This window comes from Homo sapiens, chromosome 12 (assembly GCF_000001405.40).
Source record: "Homo sapiens chromosome 12, GRCh38.p14 Primary Assembly".
In the NCBI taxonomy this organism is placed as follows: domain Eukaryota; kingdom Metazoa; phylum Chordata; class Mammalia; order Primates; family Hominidae; genus Homo; species Homo sapiens.
Genome location: NC_000012.12, coordinates 114,139,535 through 114,164,912, shown reverse-complemented (window position 1 = coordinate 114,164,912; position 25,378 = coordinate 114,139,535). Strand labels below are relative to the sequence as shown.

General features: G+C 44.4%; 3 annotated features.

Annotated features, from left to right (window-relative positions):
- Window positions 483–1,682: an enhancer, noted in NCBI's record as "P300/CBP strongly-dependent group 1 enhancer chr12:114601036-114602235 (GRCh37/hg19 assembly coordinates)". NCBI's record gives its function as "activates an origin of replication core promoter dependent on BRD2, BRD4, P300/CBP, MED14 and CDK7 cofactors, with strong dependence on P300/CBP, by STARR-seq in HCT116 cells {active_cell/tissue: HCT116}" and the evidence as "EXISTENCE:reporter gene assay evidence [ECO:0000049][PMID:35650434]".
- Window positions 6,700–6,869: an enhancer, noted in NCBI's record as "experimental_24865 CRE fragment used in MPRA reporter constructs". NCBI's record gives its function as "activates a minimal promoter by MPRAs in K562 erythroleukemia cells, with activity observed for both the introgressed and non-introgressed 12:114595934 variant alleles {active_cell/tissue: K562}" and the evidence as "EXISTENCE:reporter gene assay evidence [ECO:0000049][PMID:34662402]".
- Window positions 16,862–17,031: an enhancer, noted in NCBI's record as "experimental_24844 CRE fragment used in MPRA reporter constructs". NCBI's record gives its function as "activates a minimal promoter by MPRAs in K562 erythroleukemia cells, with activity observed for the introgressed 12:114585772 variant allele {active_cell/tissue: K562}" and the evidence as "EXISTENCE:reporter gene assay evidence [ECO:0000049][PMID:34662402]".

Here is a 25,378-nt window from a genome sequence, read left to right as displayed (position 1 = left end):
TTATGATCTTCAGTAAAACAACTTGACCATGCCTATCCCACCCACAAAAAAAAATCCACCGTCAACTCCTGGGGTGCATGCTTCCACCCTTGGGGCACTTACTCTACATATTCTTCAGAGGGTAGAGGAAACCTTCAACCTACAACTGAGAACTGAGGGTAGTGAGTAACTGGACTCAGAAAGTGAAGTACCTCTAGTATCTGGCAACTCCCTGAAGGGCCATCACAATGGGAAGAACATGAAGCCTAATCATCCTGGAGGACTTCTAGCCTTCAGTTGAAGGAGTCTAGCCTGCTGGTTTTCTAGTTTGTGGGATACACATGGTTGGCCTGGGGTTTTCTGAACCTGTTTCTAGACACAGGTCCATGAACTTCAGGGCAATGACTTCATCTGGCCCCAACAATATTTATTGGGCTAATGTTTGACTTAGCCCCTGGTGCCACACAGGGGAGAACGACTCGTGTGTTAGTGGGAGCAAGAAGCAAGTACTACTGCGTGAGTACTGGGTCATAACTCGGAAGCAAAGAATATGCTATATAACAGCATACATCATGGAAACAAAGTGGAACGTCCTATATCGTGCACACATGTGGAAAAAACCTGTGTGATGGGGTCTGTCATAAGGTTATTCCATCTTTCCTGAAGTGGGATGAAGATGTTCATGGTACATAGAGGCAGATACTCATTGCTATATGCTCAAGTTATAGCTGGGCACTAAGGTGGTGGTAGGTGGGGTGATATTGGGGAAAAATAGGATGCTTTTCTATAAGCCACAGCCAGAAAGGAAACTGAACACAAGTGGCATCTCCTGAATGGCCATATAGACTCGAGTCACCGTAAAACCTAGCTTGACTGCTTAGTTATGTGCTTCATGTGCTTGTCCTCCACAGTATGAGTCAGGATGGACTCATCACCCTGTTGACCAGGATGGAAGGCAGCTATGTACTCCACACTCCTGGGAGCCTGCTGTGTAGCTGAGGGAAGTGAGTCATGGGTACCGGTCTACAGAATCCTCCTACTGTGTACTTCCTGTTTATGTGCTTCCTCAAGGGACCCAGGTAGAAGGAATTGTCTTAAAGGTCCTGGTGGAATTGAATCGAACTGAAGCAGCTTTGAAGGCCTGGCTTCTTGGAGGCTTCCAGGCTCTGGTCAAGTCTCTTCTGACCTCTGTTCTATAGCAAAAGAAGCTTTCCACTTCTGTCCTCCTTGCTGTGTGGTTTTGTCCTTAAATACACCTCCAGCTTGACCCAGCTCCTCCTCTTCCAGGTCCTCAGCAGTCAGCCAGTAAGCTACCTGCTCCAGGGTCAGGTGGTCACCTCAGCCCAATCAGCTGGTCCTGAATAGTGATTGTGAGGCATGACAACATGGCCTAACTGGGAACAGGGGTCTGGGCAGTTTGTGCCCAGGGACGATGGGTAGGCAGGGAGATGCTTATCCTAGTACCTTTAAAAAAAAAAAAAAAAAAAAAAAAAAAATAGTAGTAATGTATGGTCCAGGAAGAGACAATCTCAGGATGACTGTCCCCAGCATCTAAAGTATGACTCAGGAGCAAGGCTTCAGTCTTGTAGCTAGAAATGCCTGCCTGCCCCTGTCTCAGGTCATGGGTGGGCCCAGATGAATGCACGGATCCTCACCTCTCACCCCGAAATAGATCTTCACAAATCGTGAACCCAAAATGAACACTTAAGAGGTGCTTTACATGGACAGTCTCAGGCTACCCTCTTTGGAGGTATGTATAGGGAAGGTGGACAAAACTTCAGTTTTTCTTAAAAGTGCAAGTGACAGGGATCTGCTTTCTCTGGGCTTGGCTTTCCTATTTCCAAAACATGGTCGGTCTTGGTGACTGTTCAGTGGAGTGAACATCTTTATTTCAACAGGAACAAACTATTGTATAAGTGGTCACAAAGCCCAGTTGACTGATCAGTTATGTCCATGCCTTCTGGTTCTGCCCATTACTGATGGTGTTGACATCCTCAACTACAGGAGTGGATTTGTCTTATCAGTTCACATTTCATCTTGATGCTCTTAGGTACAAAGACAACTTCTTGGACTGTCCTTGCATGTAATGCTCACTATCATTCATGACAACTTTCTCTGCTCTAGTCAGCTCCAGGTTTCTTTTGATTGAACATGTCACACCTTTCTCCCTTCTAAACTGACTTCATATTTAAGTGGATTTCTCAGTCCAGTTCTAATAGTCTGAAACAAGTCAACAGACTAGCTTAGTCATTTCAATGGCTTGTAATGGCCTATAACACACCTACCCCCAGACCAAAAGCTGTTTATTCCCTTGGTTTTTGGCCCCTAAACCCACTGCTGAATAAGCACTGTTGCCTGTAGGTCTTCAAGCTGGTGCTCCCATTACTATGGCATAGATTTCCAGAACTGGGGCTGCTGGATTTCAAGAGTGTTTAGATATAACTAAGTCTTACTAGCTGTTGGCCAAACTGCTTTCCAAAAAGGATAATTCATCCCCCACTGTGAATGCATAAACTCTTATGAACAAGGCACAGCAAGTTCCTTTATGTGTGATAGTTCTTACCTGTGAGATCCTATAACTTCCTCTGGTTGTTCAACATAGCATTGTGGAGCAGGCATTTCATGTTTCTCTGTCCATCCCTGGAACAAGGAGTCTTAGCCAGGGCCTCAGTGTTCTAAATGGAACAACTTCTCACTACCCCCTTCCTGTAGGGAAATGGAGACCAGCAAACAGGCTTTTGTGTTGTGCAGGTGTTCCTGAATCTCATGCTTGGAAATGGGACTCAAAGGACTCTTGAGATGGAGACGGGCAGGGAGTCTTCCATGCAAAGCTAGTTGCCTCAGAGCAAACATTCTCAACTTGAGGCTGACTTACAGTTGCATGGGGTGTGGGCTTTGACCTTAAGGGACTTGTATCAATGCTGTTCTTGGTTTAAAAACCTTACCAGGAATGTTCGAAGAACACAAATCCTGCCCCTTGACAAAATGGATAGGGGAGACGCTAATCAAGGTCTGCTTCTGAGCCCCACTTGGCACCTAACCTTCTAGTAGTATAAAGGCACTAACAGATACTATGTGCTGCTAAAACTCTCCCCTCCCTGAATCTCAAAAGGTGTGGTATCTTGCAGCCAGAAGTGAAGACTGAGCTAGTACTAAGCTCAGGCTATCTGAGCTACATAGCTCAATTCTCCACCTTTTAACAAATCAGAGTATCACGTATCATAGTCCCCTAACAATCTTGTAAATGTGACTGTTTCTAACTAGATTGAGTTCCACAAGGGGTGGAGACTTCTGTTGACCACTCAATCCTACCTGGGCCAGCACAGAGCAGGTACCAGGCATTGTCTGAACTTGAACACAAGCCACTCTTCCCCAGTTGCCCCTTTCCTAAGAGGGAAATCTCCATACTTCTGAGCCTTAAGGTGGCATGAGATTTCTTGGCTACCTTTATTTTGAAATGCTACTTAAGGGGATGTTACCATCATGTAACAACTGATGCTCACAAAGTAAATATGCAGACCTCATCTCTGTTCCTAGGATAGGGTCTCACATCTGTAAGTGTTGGAGGCTACTACCAAAAGCTTCATTTGTGGCTTGGAGTACCACCTCTAGCCCCACAGGATTGTATACTGAATGAAAATAGCTCTCTAGATGGAAGTAGAGATGCTCACAGGAAACCCAGAGTAGCTCTAGTTATGCCTTACAAGAAGGGTGGATGAAAGTTAGCTTACGTCTAAGACTCCTAAATACTTATAGTCCCATATTATATCCAGGCAGAGTTCCCATATCATGATAGGACTCTGAACTGTCATATCTCAAGACCTTGACTCAGCCAAATATTCTACACCCATAGGAGGCTATTCTTCCAGCCTTCTTCATTAAAGCAAGCCTAGCTTTAGAGCAGAGGCTACATTGTTCAGTTATACTGATTTAACCCCATTTTTCTGGAACCTGTGTCATGCTATAAACTAAGTTTGCTTTGGGATCTCAAGCATAAGCCCTTCTAGGACCAAATCCCATAAGTAAGGGATACCGGGCAGGGTTTGGCCAGAAGCAACATGTCCTGTTCGTAGAACAGCCCTTGTGTACTCCAGCAGAGGCCAGAGTGCAGACCCCATGTAGCTGGGCTGCCCTAGCTTCTTGGGAGCAAGAACTAAGATTTTTATAGACTCCCTTCTACAATAGCTGCAGCCTCATCCAGATTTCTGAATCTGTATGCAGAAAACTAACCCAGACACATTCCTGCTGGATGTGTACCACGGGTGTCCAACCTGCTGACACTGGTTCCTAGTGCTGGCCGGAGGAGCAGTCAGAGCCCCGCCCAGCTGCAAAATCCTCTGTTGGAATCTGCATCCCTATACACACTGCACTTGACAGCAAATTCTTGTCTACAACATAAGACCTCATTATGAAGCCTGGTATAAAACAATGTTAGCTTAAATATTTTGTCTAAGTCCCCAAACAGAACTTACAACTTGTTTTCAGTGCCAGCAAGCCCAACTTTGGCTTAATGTGCTGCTTCTATGTCTTCAAGTGAACTGCCTGGTGCAGCTTGGGCTATGAAGTGGCAGCCAAACTGCTTTTAGGGCTCCGTGCCCTGAAGAGCTCACTTCTAGGGAGTTACTCTGAGGGTCTTCAGAGGAAGTCTCTGTGACAACCTGGGGCTGCGGCCTTATGGCTGGCATGGGCAGTTGACAATAGTTTTGGTGGCAAGTGGTTTGTTTGGCCTACTCACACTCAAAGCTGCAAGACTTGACCTATCTTCTGGTTGCTTTGGAGCAAGACTGCTGTCTCCCAACCACGTTTCCTTGCTCAACAGGAAATTGCAAGGAGTGGCTGCATTCAGGAAACTAGACTCCAATATTGTCAGGTTGTCAAAAGATGAGACGGGATCTTGCCTTACATCCTTAGTCTCTACCCCTCATTCAGCTTCCTTTCCTGCTCTAAGGGACATGCCTTTTAGGAAAACTGCCCAACAGTCCACAAGGGACCTTGTGACAAAGCTAGTCTTGAGTATGATGTCTTATTCCAGGTTCAGTTCAGCCTCGCTTATGTAAGGCAGTGGATGCAGGAGATGAGCACTCCTGAATCAGTTCTTTAGCTAACTTCTGTCTTGGGAACTTCCTGAATGGCCTATTTCAGTGGATCATATCCTTAAATGCCTCTTCCAGTGTAATTTCCATGATGTGCATGTATTCAGAACTACCTTGCTCCTATCAGTGCCTGGGACATGAGAGTGATCACTTCTGCTTTGGATTTCTACCTTGGGAAGGAACACTAGAATCCTGCCACAGAAAGACTGACATTGGGAAACACTTCACTCAGGTTTTCTCAGTGGGCTTCCCACTGAGATGTTAGGGCCCTTGGTGGGTCCAAGCTGTGGTCAGACTCCCATATTTCCATCGTGGCTTTGTGACTCCAGAGTCTCATTTCTCCACCTCTTGAAATGGTGAGACCTAAATGCAGTCATGAACATCCTGTAAGACTCACAAGGACAGCTACTCATAATCAGGCAGGTGATACTACTTAAGGTCCAGACAGACCTTGAGTCTGAAGTCACTGATGCCTCATCCACAGAACTTCTGACTGGAGTCATTCTGTGCCTATCTGATGTGCTTAAGATTTTTAGACTGCAGTAACTTTAAACATCCTTGGCTTATAGCGGCAGGTACCTCTTCGCATATACTTGAGTTATTACATTTGGGCACTATGGTGGTAGTTGGGGATACTGAGATCCTGCTTAGTCATAAGGAGCCTGAAAGGGAACTGAATATACAACAAAGTAGCATCTTCCACATGGCCAAGGTTCTATGGAAGTTTGAATCTGAAACACTTAAACACCTTCAGCTCTTCTAGATAACTCAATAGTTCCAATCTCACTACACTATATAACCCTTGGGTCCATACTACATCACCACTTTAAAGGTGAATCAAGACTAAGTCAAGAAAACCAAGCTATGCTCAGTTTCCGTTAGTTTGCGGCAATGCCGGCATGGAGACTCTCTTGGTTTGGGGAAGTTGTTTGGCTCTTAGCAGCATGAGCTCCAGTCATTATGGAAGTCAAATTTGTTTACCCATGAGCTTCCTGTTCCTCTCTACAATGTGCATCATGCTTGACTCTCCACTATTGTGGCTTCCTGGGAGCTGGCTGTGCAGCTGCTGAAAGAAATGAGTTAGGAGGTGGGCAGAGGACTACAGAAGCCTGCTAGTCTTCAGTAGGAATCTGACAAACGTGATTTTAACTTTAATTATGTCCATGGGCCACCCTCAAGGGCCCCAGGTACAGGGATTGTCTTGAAAGGGTCCTGGTGGGAATGAATTAAACAACTTGAAGGCCTGGCTCCTTGGCGTCTTCCAGGTTCTGGTGAGGTCTCTTCTGACCTTTAGTCTATATCAAGACACGCTTTTCTTTTCTTCCTGCTGGCTGTGTGGCTTGTCTTTAAATACACCTCCCACTTGACCAGCCCCTTCCTCCATTACCAGGTCCTCAGTCATCCAATAGGTGAGCTATTTGAGAGCCAGGTGGTCACTTCAGTCCAATCACCTGGGCCCTGGATATTGGTCATGTGATAAAACATGGCTGCCTAGTCAAGAGCTGGGGGTCTGGGCAGTTTCAGTTTCCAGGGCCTGTGCATAGGCAGGATGATCAGTATCTGTAAAAGGAAGGTGTATAGCTTGGAAAGCTAAGCTATGGTCTCATTTAAGGAATAAGAAGCTTGGAATCAAGGCTCTACTCTTATAGCTGAAGTTGTTCGGTTAAGCCATTGCTGGGCTTATGTGAATCCATATATCAGGCCCCTCTGACTAAGTGTTCCAGCTCCGGGTTCACCATGAAGACCTAACAGATACTTTGGGCACAAAGTCTTAAGTTACTGAGTATATTCCAGGTCGGTGGTTGTGGGGAAGGTAGGAACAAATTCTCATGTGCCTGTGTACATGGTCATACAACAAGATCAATGAATCTGCCTCTTCTGAGCTTGGCTCTTCTATAACCCCAAACATGGTGTGTAGGTTGAATGTTCTATTTGAGCTCTAGAAGAATATCCTGTTGTAGAATGAAGTGTTCTTAATGGGGTTTAGTGTGCGTGGGTTTGGGGGTGAGGGTGGAAGGGAGGGGTCCATGGTCTTGCTTCAGAGTGGAACTGCATGGGGAACTTGAGGGCTGGCAGCTCTGGTGTAGCTTGCAGCTGTTTCAGTGCGGTGGTACTGCTCTGTGATCACCAGCTGCTCCAGGGATTATAGATGCCAATGGCAATATCGGCTGCTTGCATGGCTAGCGCCAAGGCTAACTGGCGGGTCTGATACCACTGCCAACGATGCAGTATAAAACTTCCTAGCAGGAAGAACCTGTTGCATGACTCAGATACATACATGATACTCTGGTTTGAAGACTCCAACCTTCCAAATATCCTGAGTCTTTCAATGTTGCTTGTCAGGGTTTCAAAGGCCTCATGTACTGCATCAAATCTGTTTAAGGTCTTAGAGATCTGCTTCAGCTAGTTCACTGCCAACATCAACCTGTTTTCTCCTTCCTCTTCGTGCATCTTATCTTAAGGGTCATCTCTTGAGGTAGCTTTAGAAATTGAGCCGCCTTCTTGTATGATGGACAGGGATGGAACCAGAATCTCAAGCAACAACGTGGCATTTTCTGGTCTTGTCTCTTGGGAAATGGTGATATCTTTCTTCCAACATCCTCCTGGTCTGACATTGCCAGCATCAGGCAAACAATTTGCTGATTGAATTGCCAAATCCCTTCATAGACCACTGTTCCTAAAACAGTGGTCTAACGTTCATTAGTCTGACTTGTTACTGATCTAGCTATCACTTGTTGCCTGCTAGCTCTGTCCACTACTAATTGGGGTTGGCGGGGGTGGGGGCGACCACAGTCTCCAACTATGGATGACTTTTGTCTATTTCTCAAAATGCTGTCTTCATCCCAGGTTTTGCTTATTAGGTACATAACATCAGGATGTTCTCTACCTAGAGAACTGTCCCCTCTATCAGGAATGATAACAGACATTATGAAAATCTGTCCTATAGTTGGCTTTGCCTGACACGAATCAAAAGCAAGCTGGAGTAGCTATACTAGTATCAACATGCTATTGCTCTCTATATTCATAACTTTAAAGCAGGTTTCTCATAAACGTGGTCTGACTTTCATAGACCTACTTAATGCTGATCTAACACTCTCTCTCTCTCTCTATATATATATACACACATACATATATATTTTACTTGATAGGACTCAATTATACCTAACACTATATCACTTGATATAGCTAGATCAAATTGACCAAAACTTAATGGAATACAGCTCAGTCACTTCAATGTTATGGTCCTTAAATTCACCCCCTGCCAAATTAAGGAGAGTTGGCATTTTTGGGGGGGATAGCCTCTAAACCCTGAAATACTACTACCTGTGTGTTCTGCAAACCAGTGCTCTTATGATCATGAGATCTGCGGGACTGTGATTTCTGACTTTGAGTGTTAGGTGTAATTGAGTCCTAGCTGCTGCTAAATGTTCTTCCAGAAAGGACAAACTATGTTCCACTGCAAATGTATATAGCTGCCTCTCCTGAACAAGGAATAGCCTTGTACGTATAATGAAGTCCTTATATCTGGACTACATCTTTTGTAACTCTTTGCCAGTGGTTGTCCAGTGTAGTATCCAGGAGCAGGTATTTCAAAGGTTCCTCTTTACACATCCCTGAAGTGTGAAGGTAGCCTTCCTTTAGCCAGGGCCTTGGTGTTCTACATGGAACTACTACTTCTCTACCCTCTCTTCCTGCGGGAATACGGAGGCCAGCAAATAGGAACAGATCAGGTTTGTGTCTGTGTTCATATCTCCATCCCCCTTGGAGATGGGCATCAAAGGACTCCTCTGAGCTGGATGGAGCTTCGTAGGCTGCTGTCCATGCAAAGCTGCAGGCCTCATGTAAAACCACATCCACGTTTGGGATAAGGTTTGACTTCTATCGGGTGGCTTTTGTGGGCTCTAACCTGAGGGTGATCTGAGTTGCAGTATGACCCTTAGAACAAGCTATTTCATGGGAGTGATGGAGAACAAATGAGCACTGCCACCCAATGAAAGGGAAGCTGAGAAGCAATGAGGGGTGGTGATAAAGATCCACTTTCAATACTGTGAACCCTACTTGGCACTCTAGCTTTCTAAGTAGTGCAAAGGCACTAACACTATTTCCCCTGAATCTCAAAACAGTCTAGCTAGAAGTAAAGACTGAGTTAGCACTAGGTTCATGCTAAAGTGACTTTTACCTCCCTTCTCTGAAGGCTGGAGCAAGAGTATCACTGCCAGTAACAATCTTACGTATACAAACTGCCTGACTAGACTGAGTTCTGCAATGAGTGGGCACTTTGGCTAGTTCACCAAGTGGGCTCTCTAGCACAGCAGTATTAGACTATATGAACTAAACAAAAGGAACTTTTCTTCCCAAGTCCTTTCCAACCAATAGGATGTCTCCTGAGCTTTAAACTGGCAGATCTCAGCTGCCATATTTGGAAAGTGTTAACTTGGAATCCTTTCCTGAAGTTGTAACTGATTATAAACGTGAGGCCCTAAACCAGGAATAGGTTGCCTGAGTTAGGTTCACTGCTTCTATAAGCAAGTGCCAGAGGTGGTTGTGAGCATCTTGTGGCTCAATATAACTTCAACCACAACATTGTATGCTGAAAATAGCCATCTAGGTGAACAGATGTCTGCTAGAAAAAAAAAAAATAGAATGGTTCTAGTTACAAAAATTACCTTTTGGAGAAGGGTGGGCTAAAGACCAAGCAAAGACTTCCTGAACAAAGACTTCAGATGTAGCCCAATGTTACAGGGAGGCACAGACCTTCTTCCATATACCTTTTAAGTCTAGATAAGACACTCCTCCTATTGGAGGAAAAAAGGTTCCATCATGCCTGAGTGTCAGATCTCAAATTACATCACACTAAGCCAACCATACTATACCTGCTAGTCACTCTTCCAGAATCTTCATTAAAGCAACCCTAGCTTTAAAGGTAGGGGATTCATTGTTCAGTTACATCATCTGATACTCAATTTCTGGGAGCTGTGGTATGCCATAAACACTAAGCTGTGTTAAGCCCTCCTAAGAACCAAATATGAGACAGGTTAAGGAATGCCAGGTAGGGCGTGGCTTGGAAGGAACATGTCTTATTCAGTAGCACAGCCCTAGTCCGTTCTAGCTCTCTGAGGCCACAATAAAGACTGTGTAGCCAGAATACTCTAGCTTCTATTAGAGGGGAATACAATCCAGATTCTTAGACTCCTTTTTATCATTGGCATCCTTATTCAGGTCTCTGAAAGTCCTTATGCAGGCCAACCCAGACACTACTCCTGCAGGCTGGGTGTGTGCCACGGGTGCACAACCTGATTGTTTGGCTCCTAGTGCTGGCCGGAGGATGAGACTGAGCCCTGTCCAGCCTGTGCTGTGAGAAACACACACATCCTTGTACACACACCATACTTCACCCTGACATAAGACCTCTAAGAAATACTAAACGCTTAAAGTAGGCATGAAACACTAGGCATGAAACACCAGGTTTCAACGTTCTGTTTATACTCCGGCCAGAATCTGTAACTTCTGTCTCCAGTGGTGGCAAGTTTCTCAGTGTGCTACTTCCCTTGTATTTAAGAAAAATTGCCCAGCAAGGCTAGAGCTGACAGCTGGGACTCTCCTGAGAGCCCACTTCTAGGAGCTACTCTAAGGACCTTCAAAGGTAACCTATCTACCTGGGACTGTAGCCTTGTAACCAATATGAGCAGAAGGCAATGGATTTGGTAGGTGGATTTCCTGGCCTATACCTCCTGCTGTACAAAGACGTATCTAAAGTTATGGAACAGAATTTATGTAGGCTCACTTTGGAGCAACACCAGGTTCTCCCTGGCTCTTGCTCCCTAAGAAAGTGTAAGGAGTGGCTGTACCCAGATTAGATTATAATCCTGTTATCAAAGGATGGGTAAGGATGTCGTGCCCTTAGTTCTCTCTACTTAACTTGCTTTTTTGCTCTGAGAAGATGCCCTGTGTACCGACTGACAGTTTTCACAAGAGACGTTTGGTACAAAGCTGGACCTATGGGTGAAACTGTCCACTTCACCAGGAATTGGACAGTAGGCTGTCCCTTCATGAGCACTGACGGCTGTAAGAAACAAAAGCTTATATCAACTCTCGGGATACTTATCCCACTGAGCTTTTGGGCCTTCAGTAGGAATCTGACAAACATGGTTTTAAATTTATTTGGAGAGCAATCGTTCCCTTATGTAACATCCCCCATTCTCTGCTCTGCGGTCACCTTTGCCTGACACTAACACAGCTACTCCAGCTCTCTCCTGATCAGTGTCAGGAGTCCTCCCATTCCTGGACTTATCTGTGACTTTAAAGTGGGTTCCTTGTAGACGACATACCTGGGTGGATTTTCTAATGTCTGGGTGGGCAGGGGTGCAAATCTTAAGTGGATGAACTTAAGCTCAGTCACTCCAATGGTGTGTCATGGTCTAAAGTAACATGCCCATTCCCTGACCTAAACTTTCTTGGGGGTTTTAGTCCCTAACCATTGAATAAACCTCACTACACAAATCCTTGAACGGATATCTATATGGGGTAGACTTTCAGGAGTGGGGTGCTGATTTTAAGAGTGCCAGGTATAGTTCTTACTAGCTGTTAAATTGCTTTCCAAAAAACATACCTTCACACCAATGGTTCCCCTCTCATTAACTCTAAGAGGCAGAATGTTACCAGGGAGAATCGCCCAGGGAATTGGAATCTTGACAAGATATGAAGCACTCAAACCTCAATGTTGTCTTGTTGGCAGGCATTTTAAACTTAATTGTCCTTACACAATCCCTTCTGCCTACCGATGCGTCATGAACTATTAAATTCCTAAATCAAACACAAATGTCAAGTCTACTTCCAACCATTGTTCCTTGCAGAATGTCTAGATAAGCACTGTTTTCTAATAGAAGGCAGAAAAACCTAAATGTAACATTTATACGGTCCTACCTTTATATTTCTCTAGCCATCATCTGAACTATGAATTGAACTGAACTCATAGTTCAAATGATGGCTGAATTCTTATTCTTTGATCTTCCAGCTCCAGGGGTTTAACATCCTAAGATCATGCCCAGAAAATGGTTAAGCCTTGTTCCCTAGCCCTTCTGTCTTCCCTTCAATAGACATGTATTTAGAAACTGCAACCTTCTAACAGGGAGGTTATTTGAATAGGATATAACTGGGGTGTTAAACAAAATTGCTTGTGGCTTTGGAATGTGGGGTAGGCTTCTACACAACGGCTTTATCTCTATCCCCACTTGCCACTAATAGGTCATTAACTTATCTGGGCTATGAATATGTTCCTGTTGCATGTGTACCAAAACCATAAACCCACAGCCACCCTGGCAGATCACACATGCGATGCTATAGAGGTCTGTCTTGGAGCCAAGTGCTTTATATAATGCCACAGTGGTGGCCCCAACCTGCTTGCTTTTCAACAGCTCCATGTGACACCTTTGCCTGTCTCTCAGTGACAAGCCAGGACCTTCTTCAGGCATTTTCCCAGCCAGCTAATCAAATGGCATCAGTGGGAATGTTTACAGCTTGCTGCCACTTAAGGAGTGTTATCAGAGCCCTTCCAATATCAGCCCCCAACCCGAGGCTGATAACAGAACAGGAGGGGGATGGAGGATGGACAGCCTTGGGAGAACTGGTGAAGACCAGAAAACAAGATGTCAATCTAATCTGAGAGACCTCCCATAGGGCCCCTACCATGGGGTAGCAGCTTGGTCTGAAATTCCTTTGAGGATGACACATCTGTGTGCCTCTAGTGTCACACAGATGCTTGGTATCCAGTGCTATTGGTCCATTCAACACTAAAGCACCTACCATGTACGGGACTGTCATTTCTATGGTGATGAGATGCTGTTTTCCACCTGGTCAAAAATGTGGACAAAGACTGAAACCCAGTTGATCTCTGCCTTTGTGTGACCTTGACTTCTTAGGCCATTGTATTAGTCTGTTTTCATACTGATAATTACCCAGTTTCAGGTGTGTCTTTTATAAAGAGGTTTAATGGACTCAGTTCCACATGGCTGGGAAGGCAGCACAATCATGGTGGAAGGCAAAAGGCACTTCTTATATGGTGGCAGCAAGAGAATTGAGAGGCAAGCAAAAGGGGCTTCCCCTTTTAAAACCATTGGATCTCAAGTCTTATTCACTACCACCAAAACAATATGGGGGAAAACTGCCCCTGTGATTCAATTATCTCCCACCAGGTCCCTCCCACAATATGTAGGAATTATGGGAGCCTACAATTCAAGATGAGATTGGGATGGGGACACAACCAAACCATATCAGCCATTTTTTTTTTTTTACCAAATTTTCTTTCATTTTTAGAAGTAGACAGTGAAGATTCAAACTTCTATTTCTTCTTTCAAGTAAATTTAGATTTCCAGGTATCCTGACTGTATATAGCTGTATTTTCTTTAAGTTCTGGGGTATACGTGCAGAATATGCAGGTTTGTTACATAAGTATACATGTACCATAGTTTGCACCCATCAACCCTTCATCTACGTTAGGTATTTCTCCTAATGCTACCCTCCCCCAACCCCCCATCCCCCAATAGGCCCCGGTATGTGATGTTCCCCTCTGTGTCCATGTGTTCTCATTGTTTAACCCCCACTTATGAGTGAGAACATACAGATATGAAAAATGCCCATCACTGGTCATCAGAGAAATGCAAATCAAAACCACAATGAGATGCCATCTCACGCCAGTTAGAATGGTGACCATTAAAAAGTCAGGAAACAAGAGATGCTGGAGAGGATGTGGAGAAATAAGAATGCTTTTACTCTGTTGGTGGGAGTGTAAATTAGTTCAACCATTGTGGAAGACAGTGTGGTGATTCCTCAAGGATCTAGAACTAGAAATACCATTTGATCCAGCAATCCCATTATTGGGTATATACCCAAAGAATTATAAGTCATTCTATGAAGACACATACACACATTTGTTATGGCACTGTTCACAATAGCAAAGACTTGGAACCAACCCAAATGCCCATCAATGATAGACTGGATAAAGAAAATGTGGCACATATACACCATGGAATACTATGCAGCCATGAAAAAGGATGAGCTCATGTTCTTTGCAGGGACATGGATGAAGCTGGAAACCATTCTCAGCAAACTAACACAAGAATAGAAAACCATATCAGCCATTCTTATACTCTAAAGTGGGGATGTCTTCTGAGCATCAGTTGTACTTAGAATGCAATGAGGTATGAAAAGTTGAAGATCAGCTTTGAACCTATCACAATTCTGATATGAACTTGGCATCTGAGCTCTACCAGATGCCTTTGGGGAGAATGGGATAAAGGTATTAAGGCAAGAAACCTAAAGGCAGAGGTACCTTGAAAGGGCTCCAGTGAGTCTCCTACTCCTACTTCCTGGACGTTCAAACTGCTTTTGCTGGAAAACATACCATCTATATCATAATTACTCGGTAACCCTATCAGCCTAATACTGATACTCAATATTAAGGGACCCTTGTGCTAAAGCAGGCAACATGCGACTGTCTGACTGGGTTAATCACAACTTAATACCAGGCAGAGTTGCTGGCCTTGTATTTGGACTTTCAATGCAACCGTGGGCACCCCAGTAACCAAAGGTAGACTTGGCACCTAAGCAAACTTGAATATGGTTGCATTCGGCACCTTAGAGTTGTACAATATGTCTATATTCAGACATCTAGGGTCTATGCATGACCCCTGTCCACAGTCAGTGACCACAGGTCGGAACACAGAATGGTGAAACACAGCACCTTAGACAGCTGTAAGTCAGCAGTCCTCACCCCAGGCACTTAGGTACTCTTTTTGAAGTGAGGTCTCACCCTCTACGGCTGGAGGACTTTCAAATAACTATGCCATCAACTAATCTGCCTTAACTGAGGTAGAATTCTTCTTCTACAAGCAGTTTATAAGGTCATCTAGTGGGGAAGAGATTCAAACTTTTTCTAAAACTGCTCCTCCTACGTGCAACCTACCTCCAACTCCCACAAGCAGCATCTATGCAGTCAAAACACAGTGAGCTGTTGGTAACTGCACGGATTGTAGAAAGTTTGTTCAGACTACAGCATGAATTTGGCTGGTGGGCTCTTGTAGCAGGGAGATGGTGAGAGTTCCCGTGGTTTTGCACACTCAGTTTAATGTTGATCTACCTCCCACTGTCTTGAACTCCAGCATCTGGCCAAACATCTAGAGAACAGACTTCAGTGGAGTAGGGGTCTGAGCGTGGGGAGGGGAAGCAAGATTTCAAGGGCTGAGGGTGAAACTGCTGTCACGTGCTCAGCCATCCTGCCTCACACACCTTCCCAGGAACCGAGGCTGCAGGTTCCATTGGGTGGGTTCGTCTACTTTTGTGTCCTTCCTGCAGAAATAGTTCTGGCTTTCTGAGCTCCTTTCAGGCATGCATGCCACCTCATCTGGAAATTCCTGATTCTGTTAACTTCGGTTTGTCCTTACAAATTAATAACTCTTAATTTCTTTGAGCAAAACTTGGAGAAATGTGATCTGTCATGTTTACCTAGAATTTCCAATAGCATTACATTTAGGATTTAAGTTTTGGAAACCCTCTACCATGTGCCCACAAACAATAGTACTCAATATAAATACAACTAAAGGATATAAACCTGAAGTAATGCTCTAACTCAAAGATAACATCCTTAAACCATCCAGTAAAGTGTCCTTCCACAACTTTGGTCCTCCTTGTCTGCTTACCCCTATCACTTCATCAACAGACTTAGGTGGATGAGTTTGAGGCTGTGGAGGTATAACAGCCCCCCAGATCATAAAGTTAAACAGGGTGAATCAGTTATCACCCTATTCCTGGCTTATCTTGAATTCTAACTGAAGTCACTCAAGACAAACACCAGAGTGGGTTTTGCCAGCTTACATCTCATGGCTCAAAGGCATTTGTCAGTTTCAACTGAGTTTACCCAAGTGTACCACAGCAAGCTTTCTACCAAGGAACTGCTGTAAACATTATGCTTCTGAAATGCCAGTGCCACCTGCTTGGAATTTCTACGTGGTCACAGAGGAAACAGACTTATGTCCAGTGGAGATTTGCTTACGAGCTGGAGAGTTACTCATCTGTACATGCCTCACTGGCACTCATTGAGGATAAGTCAGTGAATGCATTCTAGGTGACATGTTTTGAAAATAGCTTGACTTCCTAGTCCATGGCAAGTGTTAGAGTTAAGAGTGAATCTAAAACATGCAGTGAGATTCATAGTTACATGTTGTAATAAATCTTAAGTATGCTACTTCAGATGTAACTTAGTAAGGCTGGCTTGTCACTTAAATTTTACTAAGTGCTTATACTTTAAAGAAGCTTCTTGCTACTGACCTTAAGCGCTGATTGTGAAACGCTATTTCAGTGAAACCTAAGTATGTAGGTAGGTGTCTGTAGACTCACCTTAGCAAGCCTAAGCTAGTGTAAATAACACTCCTAACATCCCAGAGAATTGGTCAACCTATTTGGTGACTTCTGATGTGCTCAGTATCTCCCATGGCAGTTCCCCTCACAAAATCTGCCTGTGACTTGTGTTGGACGGTCCTCGTTTTGACTGAAAACTATCTTCTAGAAAACCCAACCAGCACTGGAAGCAAACAGATGCTGAGATGGAGTTAGGAGTGCAAAAGGCTTGTTGGAATTATACCTGTGCTAGGTAGGCATCACAGCCCAGTGATTCTCCCCATTCAATTCTACTTCCTCACTTTTCCCTTCAAGTCTGACAGCTCTGTGGGGGCTCTGGAATAGAGACTGCACAGAGCATTGCATAGTGCTGGCTCTCCTACTCCCATGTATCTATCTGCTGCACCTCCCTTTTTGCCTGGACAAATTACTACGTTCCAGTCCATAAAGTGTCTGCTCCAATCCCACTGTCTCTCAAAATACCCACGACTGAACATCCACTCCTCAGATGTGGCCTCCAACTGGGGTTGCTAGACTTAGCAAATTAGATGTTTTCTACTAGAATATCCCAAATACCTCATGGGATGTTATGTTGTATCTGACAACACAGTTAGTATGAAGTGAATGCTACTTCAGTTCTAACCATTATGGCAATGTTTATTATGAGATAGCCCTTGTGAATTAGATTTTTTTTCTGGCAATAACACTAGAATTCTGAAAGGTTAGGCTGTAAGTCTCTTCACCTAAATGATTTGAGACAAGCCTCATTTTCTTGGCAGATCTAAGTTTTGACTTAGCCTTGTTTCTAAGACTTATGGATAAGACTGGAAGAAGCCCCTGACTGCCCTTGGGAATAATCCTAGCTCTAAGGATGTTGTTATTGACCAGACCTGCCACTACTCAAATCACTGGCCAAATATTGAACAGAGTGAGTCAGTTCTATTGTGCTCCAATAAGAACATGACTCCATTAACCTATGTTGTCCAACTATACAACCCTCCAATCAACAAATACTCCCTGTATAACGTTTCCAGGAGCTAACAGGGTTGCCTAAGGTGTTCTGCATCAGGGTTTATTCTAGAATCTTCAGGACACTATAAAGCATCTTGATAACTTGCCTTGAGACGTCTTTCCCTTTCACACCACCTGATGTGAAGAGCCCTTTTTAGTGTATCCTTTCTGTAATACCTCTCCCCAAAATGTGTAACCTCAATCATGAGGACACCTGCCAAGCCTGAAGGAACACTTAGCAAAACTGACCAGAACCCTTTAAAAGGGTCAGTCAGGCTGAGCTGTGATGACTAAATGCAACATAGTATTCTAGACTGGATTCTGGAACCAAAACATTAGTGAAAACTAAAGTCTGAAATTCCATAGCTTAGTTGACATTTTATCAAGGCTAACTTCTTAATTCTGATAGCTGTATATGGATATATTAGATGCCAAGGGGAAGTTGGGTAAAGGAATATAAAGGAAATATTCTTTTGACTTAGTGTTAGCTATCTAGAAGTTTAATATGTGTCAAGGACTCAAGCTTCCTTAAGTTGGTTTTGTGCTCAGGTGAGTGCCCTTCCTGGAAGGCGATCCTGCTATAATCTCCAACACAACAGGATTTTTACAGCAAGATGCCTATCCTGGTCAGTCCATTCTGGTTCAGGTTAAAGCCAGCAAATGCTCATAAGGGAAAAGCACCTTAGTAGCCTGGACATCTCGGTGACAATGCAGACCTCCCTGGATCTAAGGAACAGGTGAGTGTGGAGGGTTGAATATAACTGACCATTCCCTTCCTTCACTACACCTGCCCATGAAGGGCTGCTAGCCATGTGCAGAACCCAGTGAGTGAATCTCAGTTGGAGACCTGTGGAAGACTTCAAGGCCGTGTTATAACTAAGATCACAGAAGTGACACCTAGGAGGCACCTAGAGAGACACTGGTCAGCCAGGTCCTGGTTCTTCCAAAGGCTGAGACACTGAGGACTACTGCCACTGGTTTGAGCCTTGTGTATGTTCTTAGGGGTAGATGAGTCTCAACTGCAGCAGCAAGTGACTTCTGCACTGTTTGGGGGTGTGTGGGGCAAGTCTTTCTGCCTTAAGGACAGAAGCTAAACTGATTCCAAAGACAGACTCGGAAGCCAAAGCAGGAAGAGGGATCCAGAGGGTGCGTGAACCCAGAACAGGATGACTTGGAGGGAATGACGCAGACCACATGTGGGCTGGGGGGTGATGGTCAAGTCACAACCATGCTAATGTGATGCCCGTGTATGTTCTCATTATCCTAGTTGGCTATGTACAACACAAATGTTCTTAACGGTAGCTACAAGGCTCAACAGTTAAGTGTAGTGTTCTTTTAGGTGTTAAGAACTTGAGAGGAAAATGGGTTCTTGTCTCAAGTATAAGGACCATGAAAGATGACTGACAGAACTGAAATGAGCTCAGGGGTGGGACAGGGCACTGTGAGGGAGCCATCTCAGACATGAAGCATCATGATTGTAGACCATGAGTCAGCTTGTTGAGAACAAGTGAGATATACTCATGCTTAGAACATCCATGCTTTCCTGGATTAGGAAAAGCTTTGAGGATATGTATAACCTTTTTTATGCAGCCTAAACTAGGATGCCTCAAAGCAACTTCACATCCTGAATCCTACAGCTGGGGGGAAAAAAAAAAGATCCAGGGACTGGACCAGTTCAGATAAACCCCTTCCTGAAGTCTTCCTTCCAAGGACATAACTCCTTTTCTTCTTGCTCTACCGTCCCTTGGTCTTCATCCTACTGTTCTTAAAGCTCTAAAGCTCTACCTTCTTTCAAAATGTCGTTCTTGAGAGCAGGCTTGTTCTCAACTCACAGGTTCCTCTGCAGATGTTCACCTACTTCTAGGATCTTGGGCCTCCTTGGTAGATGGAGCTTTGTGGAATATCAATCTCCCTGAAATGATCTTGGGTTCAGTCTTTCCCAGTGCAAGAAGTCCACATTAGCACGTTTGTTTTCAAAATGGGGACAAGGTCCCTGGAGCTAAGATCAGTAGCTGCCATGGTCTGAAGCTAGTTTCAGAAAAATGTCAGTTGGTGCTTAGCTCGTTGGATTTGGTATACTAAAGCCTTTGACTAATGGACCACCTTGTATTTTGCTAAAACAGCACCTGTTTTGGGTACCTAGCTTTCTTAGGACCCATCTGGGAGAAGGTAAGGCAGATGACAGTACTTATCTCAGTCCCTGATCTGATGTGATGAATGGCATACTGACTTCACTTTAAACTCAGGGGTAGGAAAGAAAGGGAGGTCTACATGCCTGGAACCCCTCACAGTTGTGTAACTGTTAAGGGCCTCAACTGTCACCCTGCAGGGATTTTCCTAGTATACTTGTTAATGTGTTGGTTTGAGAGCTTTTGTCTCCTTGTGATGGTCATGCATTTGATTAACTCACATTCCTATACTCCATGGGTCATAGATACCTGTTCTCTTGACCCATTTGTATTAGAAACACATCTGTCTCAGCCAAATCCCAAACCATAACTAAGTCCTATGAAGGATAAAAATGTAGTACCAAGGGCTTGATGAGCAGATTTGATCTTGAAAATCCAGAGATCTCTGGGGATGCCCACCCTTCTAGAGACAGAAGGATAATGGGTAAAGCTTCCCCAGCTAGGTGTAAAGAGCATTCTAGACTAAGGACTGGGACAGAGACTCACATGGCTAAAGTGTGGAAGCTGGGTGGTCCAACAGGACAAGGCCAGGAAGAGATGAGGGGTGGTGGTGGTAGATCACAGGCAGCTGACAACACCTGGGGGTGAGTTACCAGAACTGGTTCAAAGATCTCAAACTAGCAGTTCAAGTAGGAGGCTTAATGGGAAACTTGAGAAGCCAGAATTTTAAGGCTGGGAACCTAGACACTGACCACTCCACCCCAAGCTCCAACTCAATCTGTCTCTAAGAGTTTGCTCCAGCTCTAATTCCCCTTGGGAATGGCTAGGAACTCCAATGACAGGTGAAGAAAGTCTCTTCATGGGATCTCAGCTCTTGGTCAATCAGACTAGTGGTCTGAACACAAATCCTAGGTTCTACTGTGAGCTTTAGAGCAGAACAGGAGTTGGAAAAAGCTGACTGGGTTACTTGACTCCCATTTTCCAGAGTCCAGTGAAAAACCTTCAGTGTCCCTTGGGCTGCTTGTTCTAAAACAATTCCAATGGTGTAGCTTCTCTCCCATAGGACTACTGCTTAGTCTAACACCTGTCAGATGTCTCCAGCTTAAGCTTTCTCATGGTAAGCTGTTCAGTTGAGTAGACCTGTTGTTTCCCAACCTTTCTCCACTTGTGCTGTCAGCTGGGAACTTGGACAAAATTGGGGGTCTTCTTGTTCTGCTCTTGGTACGACTACACTGTTCTGGCTTCTAAAGTGATCTCCTGAGATTCATGATAACCTTAGGCTGGGGTCAAGTATATGCTACTGATCTTACAGATGGGAAGCTGCTCAGAAGTGAAACAATTCATCCAGAGCTGTGTCAGAATTGGACCTCAGATCTCTGAATTTCCAGTTGGGTTTGTCATCTGCATATGTCCCTAAACTTGGCAGTGTCAATTTCAGCCTGCAGAGTTTTCTAATGACAAACTGCTCTAGAACACTCTCTAAGCCTTGAGGCTTCCAAACACATATTATGTCTTAAAGCCAGCCTCAGACACGTTCTTTTTGCCTTAGAGCTCTGGGAGAAGACATCGAGCTGATACTCTTGGCCAAACCTTCGGGAGTCTAGAAATGGAGAAGTATAGGTAACTACACTACCTTGCGTTGACCTCAAGTGCTTGCCACTCTCAGAATGGGGAATCTAAAATGTTTGGAGTAGAACTAAAAGCCAGGGTAAGCATATTGCACACAAACCCATAGAGTCATTCAGTAAGGGATACAAACTTGGCTCTAAGCTTCCTTTTGGCCTGAAACATGGTTCATGGTGACTAATTCGTCTAAATTCAAGCCTGCTCAGATGCAACAAGATCATCTTGATGCCAAGAGCTGAAATCCATAGGATATACTAATGTTAACTAGTATTATGTGCCAGGCCTCAAGACAGTGTTTTGGTGTCTTAATCCATGAGGCATAAGATTCTGTCCTTTCAGGGTAAAGAGAACCAGCTCAAGCTTTTCTTCCTGTGAGCTTTGCAGCAAGGAAGTGGTAGAATTTACGCTCAATTCTAGGTCTAGACTCTAACCCAGGCTCTTATTCAGTGCTGCCTCTTGGGTGTTGAGTTGGTCTTATAAAGTGATGGTAAACAGTTCTGCGAGTACAAGCCAGGGCCAAGAATTTCTGGGACGATTGTCCTCCCAGGAACAAACAATCTAAGTACATATCTCACAAGTCTAAATTAGCGAAGTTCAACTTCTAAGAAAGTAGGTGAAACCTTACCCTTCAGGCAGTCCTTAGTCACCTGTGCACAGGCCCTTGATAAGGCAGAACCTGAGGCTGTGATCTCAGGTCTGAGCCGTGAGTTTTGTGGCCAGTACCTTTAAAGAGCAGCGTTAGGCATGTGTTTCCTCTTTCAAAATAATCCTTCCTATTTAACCTGTAAACTCCATACAATTCAGCAATCATAACATGGAAGGTTAGTCTGTCATTCAGTTGACCATTGTTAATCTGAGGTTGTGTAATGGTTGTCTATTCAGTGTGCCTATTGCCATACAGTGAAATAGGATTCTATTAAATAACTTACACCCAGATCATTTAACTCCTGATGCACTTAAGACTCAGAATATTCACTAGTTGTAATGTAGCCTCACCTTGATTCACCAACTGTCTACATCTTGCCCCATCTTTCTGAGCAATGCCCTGCCCACTTAGAGATTAATACACCCCTCCCAGAGCTGTCAGGAGTAAAGTATGGAAGAAGCCAGAATTGCTGCCTGTACAAGTAGTACCTATCCTGGCCAAAGTACATGAACCCTCTCCCTAGGACCTCTGGGACTCAGTAAGCTTGTCTGTTGATAAGCAACAGGTCTCCATCTTCAGGAGCTTAATTGGCTGAGGGCTAGAGCTGGACCAATCCCAGGCAGCCTTACTGATGGAGAACAGAAGCAGCTGGCTCCAGGCTTGGGAGGGAGGGGAGTGCTTGTGCAGCAAGGAAGCACGGGTGGGGGCAGGGTGCTTACAGCTGTGTACCATTACCTACAGAGGTTCTGAGTAAGAAAAATTCTAACACTGGCCACTTGTCCATTTAGTTTTATTGCTTTAATCCCTCCATTCTGGCCGAGGCCAGGCCGTGATAATATATTTAAGTAATAAGGCATGACAGCCAGGGCCTGCCACAGTGATTAGAACACACCTAGCAGGATGTGATCAGGTCCAAAGGTGAGGATTGTAATCCCTTGGAAATGCCTGCAGCGGTGAAACTGCAAATGAACACAATGCTCAGACCCAGCATGGAGCTGATAGCCAGTTGGAAGCCCCCATTTGGCTTACATGTGCTTCCAAGAAGCATGAGAATGAAGGACTCTCCTGGGGCCAGGGAGACAACTGGGTGACAGTAAACTCTGGGCAGTATTAGACACTCAGCAATTATGTACTAGGATTTAGGCAGTTCAGCCTGTGAATATTTCCTAGCATCTGCTAGAAAAGCTAATTCCTTAAACTTGCTATAAGACAACATACACAAGTGATAAAGCATCAGGCTACACAACTTTTCTCAGCTTAGACTAGGATCATTAGAAGCATATTTCACACATAGGATCATATCATAAATTCCTGCCACATCTTAGTTTATCTGCTTAAGTATTCTGTGGCAATCATTCCACACTGGTTCCTGTAGATCTAGCTTGATTTCTTAGCTGAATCTTGTTTGGACACCCCCCACCCTGCTCCACCTTAAATGGGTTAAATGGTCACCCAGGCTGTGACTTTTAATAGACAAAATATATTCTTTGCATATCTTCCTGGAACACTGGAAGGGGCTGGGAGGCTAAGTTTGAACTAGAAAGACTTGGTATAGATGGTCCAAGTTTCAGGGTTAAACTAGTTAACAGATCCAAAGTTACATCTATGGCCTTGAAAAAGCTAGGTAGAGGTAGGAGGCTGAGGTAGACACTTTCTTCTTGCACTAATAACAGTGAAGGTAGATGTATACTGAAGGCCACTAAAGAGTCCTAAGACTTAAAGTACATGCCTCACAGGCAGGTCCACTTATCCACACACCTGGGAATCCAGAAGTGGAGAAGCACCTCCTGTAGGAGACTCCTTCAGATCATCACTCTGCAAAACAAGTTGACTCTCTAGCTTCTCAATGCCCAGAAGACTGAGCACTCCCATCAGTTACAGAAAGTTCAACCTGGACTCGTGATTTGGAGCCAAGTCAGAATTGCTTTGCTTAGAGCAATTGAAATTAGGTTCCAGACTCTGAATTTGGGTTTGACTATTGCTATGTGGCATTAGGCAAAGGCTTAACCTCTGAGCCTTAGTCTTCAAACTGGATGCTGTACTCCTGCATTAATCTAGGTCCTGAGAAGCTAAAGCAGGATTAGACATGCAAGAGAATTGTAAAGGAAAATAGATAAGGGAGCTGGAGGACACAGAGATTTAGATCTTGATGCAAGCTTGGCCTCTGTGAAGAGGCTAAATAGAAGCATACTAAATGAGGCAGTCCAAGAAAGTTTGGCAAGGCCAATGGACTCATCAGCTGGGAGTCACTCATGGAGAGAATGGCCTTTGCAGATTTTCTGCAGACCTCAGCAGCTGGGGCCACCTGTCAGCTATTTTCCCAGACTTGATGTAGTTCCACAGTTGCCACAACAGTCAACTGAGATGTGAGGACTTGATAAATAGTATAAGATGCTTAGCTCAGATCAGCACAGATAAGTGCTTTTCTGAGAACACTGTCTGAAATTGTTTGTCACTTATACTGTCTGTGTACACTTAGGCATGTCACTTTCTTGCCCCATACCTGTCTATCTGGAAAGTGAGACTATTCATTTAAGATGAACTTGGAATGCATGTAAAATGCTCAGCCAAGCAAAAGCTCATATCTTGAACTATTGTTAGCTTAGTGTCTTTACCATCAGTGAATCTGAAATCTCCCTGCTATAGAAGCACATAGCTGGACACCTCCCTTATCCTCATTCTCAAACTCTCTGGACCAAGGTGAATGGACTACTGGTCTCCATATTTTGTTCTCATACCTGGGGAAAATGGCAGACTTTGTCCCCTCTTAGGGAATCCCAACTGCATGTCCAGTGGATAGTCTTGCCAAAAAGCCACAACACTGGTAGAGCACTTAACCATCCCTTACCTGTAGCCCTGTGTGATTGGCCTTGGCCTGGATGAATGAAAAAACATTGCTTACGTGGATGCAGGGCCAGATTCATGGGTGTACAATCTACAACCACAAAGGGCTTTGTGCTTAGTGGGGCCCTGTGCTTGTTAATACCTTGATGCCACAGCCTTAGCCTTATAAACAAGGTATCCACATTCTCGCTTTGTACCAGGTCCAGTTAACTATATATCTAGTGCTGAGCCAGGGCCCTGGTGAGGAGCAGCTGGTGCCTTCAAAGGGATTTAGCTGACGATGAGGAATAGGCTTCATAGGGATGTGAGCAGAGCTAAGGGAGTGAACAATGGGAAAGCACTCACAAGTTAGCAACAGGGGGAGCTGCCACACCTGGGTGTCAACTCCAGTAAAAGCCATAGGACAAGGGGCTGCCTGACAGAGGTTGGGACCTCAGAACACCCAACAAGACTCTAGACAGGTGGGTAGACAACACTATTGAAATGGATGCATGAATGGACATTAATTCAGCCCTAAGTATGTTCCTGGAGGTAAGGACATAGGCCATAGTTTAAGGCTTGTCAATGTTCTCACATTCTCTTATTAGGATGACTTAGGACCTTGGGATGGTACTTCCACTGCAAAAAACTGCCATAATAGATGGAAATAAGCCTTGACA